General features: G+C 39.9%; 1 annotated feature.

Moving 5' to 3' along the window:
* Window positions 4,440–4,989: an enhancer, noted in NCBI's record as "NANOG hESC enhancer chr5:97415319-97415868 (GRCh37/hg19 assembly coordinates)". NCBI's record gives its function as "activates a minimal SCP1, AML or CMV promoter by ChIP-STARR-seq in naive H9 embryonic stem cells {active_cell/tissue: H9 hESC(naive)}" and the evidence as "EXISTENCE:reporter gene assay evidence [ECO:0000049][PMID:30033119]".

Consider the following 7,225-nt stretch of genomic DNA (forward strand, 5'->3'; position numbering starts at 1 on the left):
GTTAAGTAACTTGGAAAAAGTTTTATCCTTTTGGGTCTTGTTTTTAACTTACACCAAACAGGTGAAAAGCCTCATTTTAAAAAGGGCAGATTTTGTGTCATTACTGATGTAAAAACCTTCTAAAAAGGCTGCCTGATACTGTTTTTCAATTTTGCTGGTGGTAAAAGGAATGATTTACATATTTGCGTTTTAAAGATAGTTCCATCTAATCCTTTCAAAGGTTAATTTCCCAGCCTTGATTAATTTTCCCGCATGAATGACTTTATAAGTGTTCAGCTGATAGACTTGAGGGAGAACTATGGATATCTGAAATTCTACCTCTGTGTATTTCTTTCCTTTCTGGTATTCTGCTGCAAATTCTAACTACATAGGCCTCCTTCATTTCCCAATTCTGTCTCTTCAATTTAGGAAGACTTTCTGGTCTTGCTTGAGTTTCTCATCATGTTCTGAAAACTCTCTCCAGGTAGTAAGCTGGGATAGTGACATAGCTCATCTCCTGTTTTTACGCCTTATAGATCACTGTCCTTTATTTCCTGGCATCCAATCTTTTCAAACCATTGTTTAAAATCTACTTCTGGTTTTTTTTTTTAATTGTTTCAGGTAATAGGTTAAATCTACTTCCTTTAATTTCACCTTGGCCAGAAGTGTAAGTATTATTTACATTTTTCATATTAAACGAAATTAGTAAAAGCAAATTGCCCAGTTTTCCACTTACTGATAGGATGCAAACTTTTAGTATTAGGCAAAATTCCCTGGGATGCTAAATATTTACTCTTGAATTGAATGGTGTGCATGAATACAGTGATTAATTGGGATTTTTGAGGTATTTAATAGAAAATACTGATTTAAGTAAAATCTAATAATAAAAATCTAACTTTCAGCAAATTGAAATTAGTTAGTATTTTTATGTTAACAGGAAAGGGGTAAAGAAACTTTTTTAAAGTATTAATTCCAGCTGGGTGCAGTGGTTCACCTGTAATCCTAACACTTGGGAGGCTGAGGCAGGAGAATTGCCTAAGGCAAGGAGTTTGAGACCAGCCTGGGCAATATAACAAGACCCTGTGTCTACAAAAAATTTTTGAAAATTAGTCAGGCATAGTGGCATGTGCCTGTAGTCCCAGCTGAGAGAGTACAGAAGAGGCTGAGAGGATGAGTCCAGGAGCTTGAGACTGTAGTGAGATGTAATTGGGCCACTGCACTCCAAAAAAAGAAAATGACAAAGAGGAAGCAAAAGCAATAGAATATAACAAATAGTAAAATAAGATGAAAAACAATTTTACATGTTATGATAAGAGAAATTATATAAATGAAGCCAATAAATAAAAAGAAATAGTGAAGGAAAGGTAAAATTTAATACTAAAGAGATATATTAGATGCTATCAATTAGGCTTTGTGTCCCCACCCAAATCTCCTCTTGAATTATAATCCCCATAAATCCCATGTGTCAAGGGAGAGACCAGATGGAGGTAATTGGATTATGGGGGCAGTTTCCCCCATGCTGTTCTCATGATAGTGAGTTCTCATGAGATCTGATGGTTTTATAAGGAGCTCTTCCCCTTTGCTCGGCACTCCTCCTTCCTGCCACCATGTGAAGAAAGCGCCTTGCTTTCCCTTTGCCTTCCACCTTGATTGTAAGGCTCCTGAGACCTCCCAGCCACACTGAACTGTGTCAATTAAACCTCTTTCCTTGCTAAATCCCTGCCTCTGGCCATTCTTTATAGCAGTATAAAAACCGACTAATACAGACACAACCAGTAAAAAAAATTATAACCACAATCTTTTATGCCACAAACAATCTAAGAGTTTTATCCTATTCAAAGGAAAAAAATCTAAATTTTATAAATTATAATCAGTATGAGAAATTGTAATAAATCTCAAAATTTGACAGAACAGGAGAAAAATAGAGATGCTTTAAGTATAATGATAAACATATAAATTCATCTATCTTTCCACTCTTGTACTTAGCAATCTTTTTCTATCTATTGATACAGATCATGGAGGTACAGTTCATAACCCTGACAAGGCAGTCAGAATGGATTTCTGAAGTTGAGCAGACAAAGCAGAGGAGGAGAATGTCAGACAGGGAAAGTAGTATGTGTTAACTAAGGCACAGAGTCATGAGAAATAATGTCCCATTCAAGGCTGTAAGTACAGAGCTAATTCAGTATAACAAGAACATTGGATGGCCTTTTGAAGAATGATCTGAAGGCTGGGCATGGTGGGCTCATGCCTATAATCCCAGCACTTTGGGAGGCCAAGGTGGGCAGATCACCTGAGGTCAGGAGTTTGAGACCAGCCTGGTCAACATGACAAACCCTGTCTCTACTAAAATACAAAAATTAGCTGGGTGTGGTGGCACACACTTGTAATCCCAGCTACTCAGGACTCTGAGGCAGGAGAATCACTTGAACCCAGGAGGAGGAGGTTGCAGTGGGCCGAGATCATGCCACTACACTCCAGCCTGGATGACAGAGCGAGACTCCATCTTAAATACAAAAACAAAACCCAAAAACAACAAAAATATCCAAAGAGATAAATAAGGAGTCAGTCTAGAGAGTTTTTTTTTTTTTTTGCCTGCCAGATTGCTTAGATTTTTATCTTGTTGGTGATGAGAAAACTGTTTGTTGCATACATCATAAGCTCTGGATGGGAGCAAGCTTAGCTCCAAATGTGACTTTGAGACTTACCAGTTATGTAACCTTGTATACCTTACTTGGCATTTCTGGCTCTCAGTACTCTCTTCAGTAAAATGGGGGTAAAAAATGCTTAACTGTAAGAGCAGGAGTGAAGACTAGAACTATGTAGTATGGGACATATTGGAGCTACTCAACAAATATTAGCATTGTTTCTGAAGCAGAAGAGTAGCATGGTAAGTTTTTCCTTTAAAAATTGCTGCATTTTCAGCAGAATGGAGGAGACACAGAAGAGCCATGGAGATGCTTTTGATAATCAAGGTGAAAAATTATGACTCTGAAACGGAGCAGTGTTGGGAATGAGTGAATATGGGGTTGAAGAGGAGGGAGGGGAATAGGTTAATTCAACTTTTCTGGTTTGATTTATTCACTTAAAGAGGAATTGCATGAGCAGAAGTAGGCTTGGAGGTAACAGTAATAGCTGCGTGTATAGGGCTCTTACTAATTTCAGGAATATAGTGACTACTACAGAAGTATAACTACCATATGGTCATCAAAATCAGCATATATGGTAACTGCCATCTCCATTTTACAAATAAGGAAAGTGGGATATAAAGAGATACATTTACTGGCCCAAGGTCTCACAACTGATAAATGGCAGAGCTGAGACATAAACCTGGCAGAAATGTTCCATTAATCATGTTGTTAACCATTTTACTCTATTGCATAATTATGAAAATCTTACAAAATATGTAAATCAGATGAGGCAATGTTCTGGATCTTTCTACTAGAATATTTAAAATATTAGTCTTAGTTTCCTCACCTGTAAATTGTGATTATAAGGGTAGTTGATAATTTTCTTTCATTTCTAAGATTTCATTAACTTTACATTAATAATGGTGAAGAAGAAAGCCAGTGATATACAGAGAGTTAGCAGCAGAGTCTAATTGGGAATATAAATTTTAAAATCCAATTTTTTTTTATAGTAAGGGCTAGATGTAATGGGATTTTAAAATTATTATTTAGTTAGTTTTGTTTTGTTCACAGGAAATATTACAGCACATATGCAAGCAAGCATTGGGGTAAGCTTGTTCTTCTCTCTATCTTGGTTCATCTTCCTTATCCTTGGACCTTTATCTCATTGCATCCAGCCACCCTTTGTATAAAACATCCCCGCACAAAAATAAAAAGATAGCAGTTATTTTCAATGTAAAAGTACTTTTTAAAAGAGCACAGTAAAATAAAATTAAATAAATATCTCGTGAAATATATTATGAAATAAAGTTGTACATGGATACTCCACTGCCAATCTGTTCATTAATACCTCTCTCTCTTTTTTACTCTGTTATTCATATTTGGGAAGGAAAAATTAAGAATAAGGGGGAAAAAGAGACTGCAAAAGAAACATGAAGCCAGCTGTAGGAGAAAAGGCTAAGAGACAAAAGAGAAAACAGAGACTAACAAAGTAGAAAATAAGAAGAAAATGAATCAGAAATAATGAAAATACAGATGGACTGACAAAAGGAAGGCTGATTTATGAGAAACTGTATACTACATTAAATTAAAATCCTTAAACAAGAAAATACACACAGTTTTAAAGGTTTCTTTAAAAAAAAAATAGGTGGTTATGTGGCTATTTTATCTACCAGCTTTTGATGTGAAGAATTTTACAATGAGAACACTTGGACACAGGAAGGGGAACATCACACACTGGGGCCTGTCGTGGGGTCGGGGGAAGGATAGCATTAGGAGATATACCTAATGTAAATGATGAGTTAATGGGTGCAGCACACCAACATGGCACATGTATACATATGTAACAAAACTGCACGTTGCGTACATGTACCCTAGAACTTAAAGTATAATAAAAATATATAAAAAAAAGAATTTTAATAACATTTCTTGAGCACCTCGTATTCTGTACCATTTGTACATGAGTAATTAATAAGAGTGCTGTTGTTGCCATCTTAGTATTCACCTAAGTGTATACAAGATTATTTGTTATGCAAATAAGATGTAAGTGAATCCATTCTGACTTAAAACAAGAGACTGGATGACTCAGGGCTATCAAACTCACCTAGGACAGGCAGTTAGGAAACATAAAAGCAGCATTAACTACTGAATGTGTTATAAAAGAGACCAGCATGATGGTGATTTGACTGGCCTGGATGCTGTTCAAGGTGGAGCTCTTTTCCAGATGTAATGCTGGCTGTAATGTTGCCTAAACCTATAGTTAATTTATCTTCTTCCATCAAGATCCAAATCACACATTGGTCCTTCACCCTTAGCGGCAAGTCCCGCTTTTCTGGGGGAGGGGCAAGTACCCCTCAACCCCTTCTCCTTCACCTTTAGCGGCAAGTCCCGCTTTTCTAGGGGCAAGACGCCCCAATCCCTTATTTCCGTGCCCCAACCCCTTTCCTGCTTTTCTGGAAGGCAACAAACCCCCACTCCTTCTCCGTGTCTCTACTCTTTTCTCTGGGCTTGCCTCCTTCACTATGGGCAAGCTTCCACCTTCCATTCCTCCTTCTTCTCCCTTAGCCTGTATTCTTAAGAACTTCAGACCTCTTCAGCTCTCACCTGACCTAAAATCTAAGCGTCTTTTTTTCTTCTGCAATGCTGCTTGACCCCAATACAAACCCGACAGTAGTTCCAAATAGCCGGAAAATTGCACTTTCAATTTTTCCATCCTACAAGATCTAAATAATTCTTGTCGTAAAATAGGCAAACGGGCTGAGGTGCCTGACATCCAGGCATTCTTTTACACATAGGTCCCTCCCTCATCTCTGTTCCCAATGCAACTCATCCCAAATCTTCCTTCTTTCCCTCCTGCCTGTCCTCTCAGTCCCAACCCCAAGCGTCGCTGAGTCTTTCTAATCTTCCTTTTCTACAGACCCATCTGACCTCTCCCCTCCTCGCCAGGCCAAGCTAGGTCCCGATTCTTCCTCAGCCTCCGCTCCTCCACCCTATAATCCTTTTATCACCTCCCCTACTCACACCAGGTCCGACTTACAGTTTCATTCCGTGAGTAGCCCTCCCCCACCTGCCCAGCAATTTCCTCTTAAAAAGGTGGCTGGAGCTAAAGGCATAGTCAAGGTTAATGCTCCTTTTTCTTTATCCCAAATCAGATAGCATTTAGGCTCTTTTTCATCAAATATAAAAATCCAGCCCAGTTCATGGCTCGTTTGGCAGCAACCCTGAGATGCTTTACAGCCCTAGACCCTAAAAGGTCAAAAGGCCGTCTTATTCTCAATATACATTATATTACCCAATCTGCTCCCGACATTAAATAAAACTCCAAAAATGAAATTCCGGCCCTCAAACCCCACAACAAGACTTAATTAACCTCACCTTCAAGGTGTACAATAATAGAGTAGAGGCAGCCAAGTAACAATGTATTTCTGAGTTGCAATTCCTTGCCTCCACTGTAAGACAAACCCCAGCCACATCTCCAGCACACAAGAACTTCCAAACACCCGAACTGCAGCGGCCAGGCATTCCTCCAGAACCGCCTCCCCCAGGAGCTTGCTACAAGTGACAGAAATCTGGCCACCAGGGCAAGGAATGCCTGCAGCCCAGGATTCCTCCTAAGCCGTGTCCCATCTGTGCAGGACCCCACTGAAAACTGGACTGTTCAACTCACCTGGCAGCCACTCCCAGAGCCCCTGGAACTCTGGCCCAAGGCTCTCTGACTGACTCCTTCCCAGATCTTCTCAGCTTAGCGGCTGAAGACTGATGCTGCCCGATCGCCTTGGAAGCCCCATAGACCATCACGGACGCCAAGCTTTAAGTAACTCTCACAGTGGAGGGTAAGTCCGTCCCCTTCTTAATCAATATGGAGGCTACTCACTCCACATTACCTTCTTTTCAAGGGCCTGTTTCCCTTGCCTCCATAACTGTTGTGGGTTTTGACAGCCAGGCTTCTAAACCTCTTAAAACTCCCCAACTCTGGTGCCAACTAAGACAGTACTCTTTTAAGCACTCCTTTTTAGTTATCCCCACCTGCCCAGTTCTCTTATTAGGCTGAGACACTTTAACTAAATTATCTGCTTCCCTGACTATTCCTAGGCTACAGCCGCACCTCATTGCCATCTTTTCCCCCAGTTCAAAGCCTCCTTCACATCCTCCCCTTGTATCTCCCCACCTTAACCCACAAGTATAAGACACCTCTACTCCCTCCTTAGCGACCGATCATGCACCCCTTACCATCCTATTAAAACCTAATCACTCTTACCCCACTCAATGCCAATATCCCATCCTACAGCAGGCTTTAAAAGGATTAAAGCCTGTTATCACTCACCTGCTACAGCATAGGCTTCTAAAACCTATAAACTCTCCTTACAATTCCCGCATTTTACCTGTCCTAAAACTAGACAAGACTTAGAGGTTAGTTCAGGATCTGCGCCTTATCAACCAAATTGTTTTGCCTATCCACCCCGTGGTGCCAAACCCGTATACTCTCCTATCCTCAATACCTCCCTCCACAACCCATTATTCTGTTCTAGATCTCAAACATGCTTTCTTTACTATTCCTTTGCACCCTTTATCCCAGCCTCTCTTCGCTTTCACTTGGACTGACCCTGACACCTATTAAG

Source organism: Homo sapiens, chromosome 5 (assembly GCF_000001405.40).
Source record: "Homo sapiens chromosome 5, GRCh38.p14 Primary Assembly".
In the NCBI taxonomy this organism is placed as follows: Eukaryota; Metazoa; Chordata; class Mammalia; order Primates; family Hominidae; genus Homo; species Homo sapiens.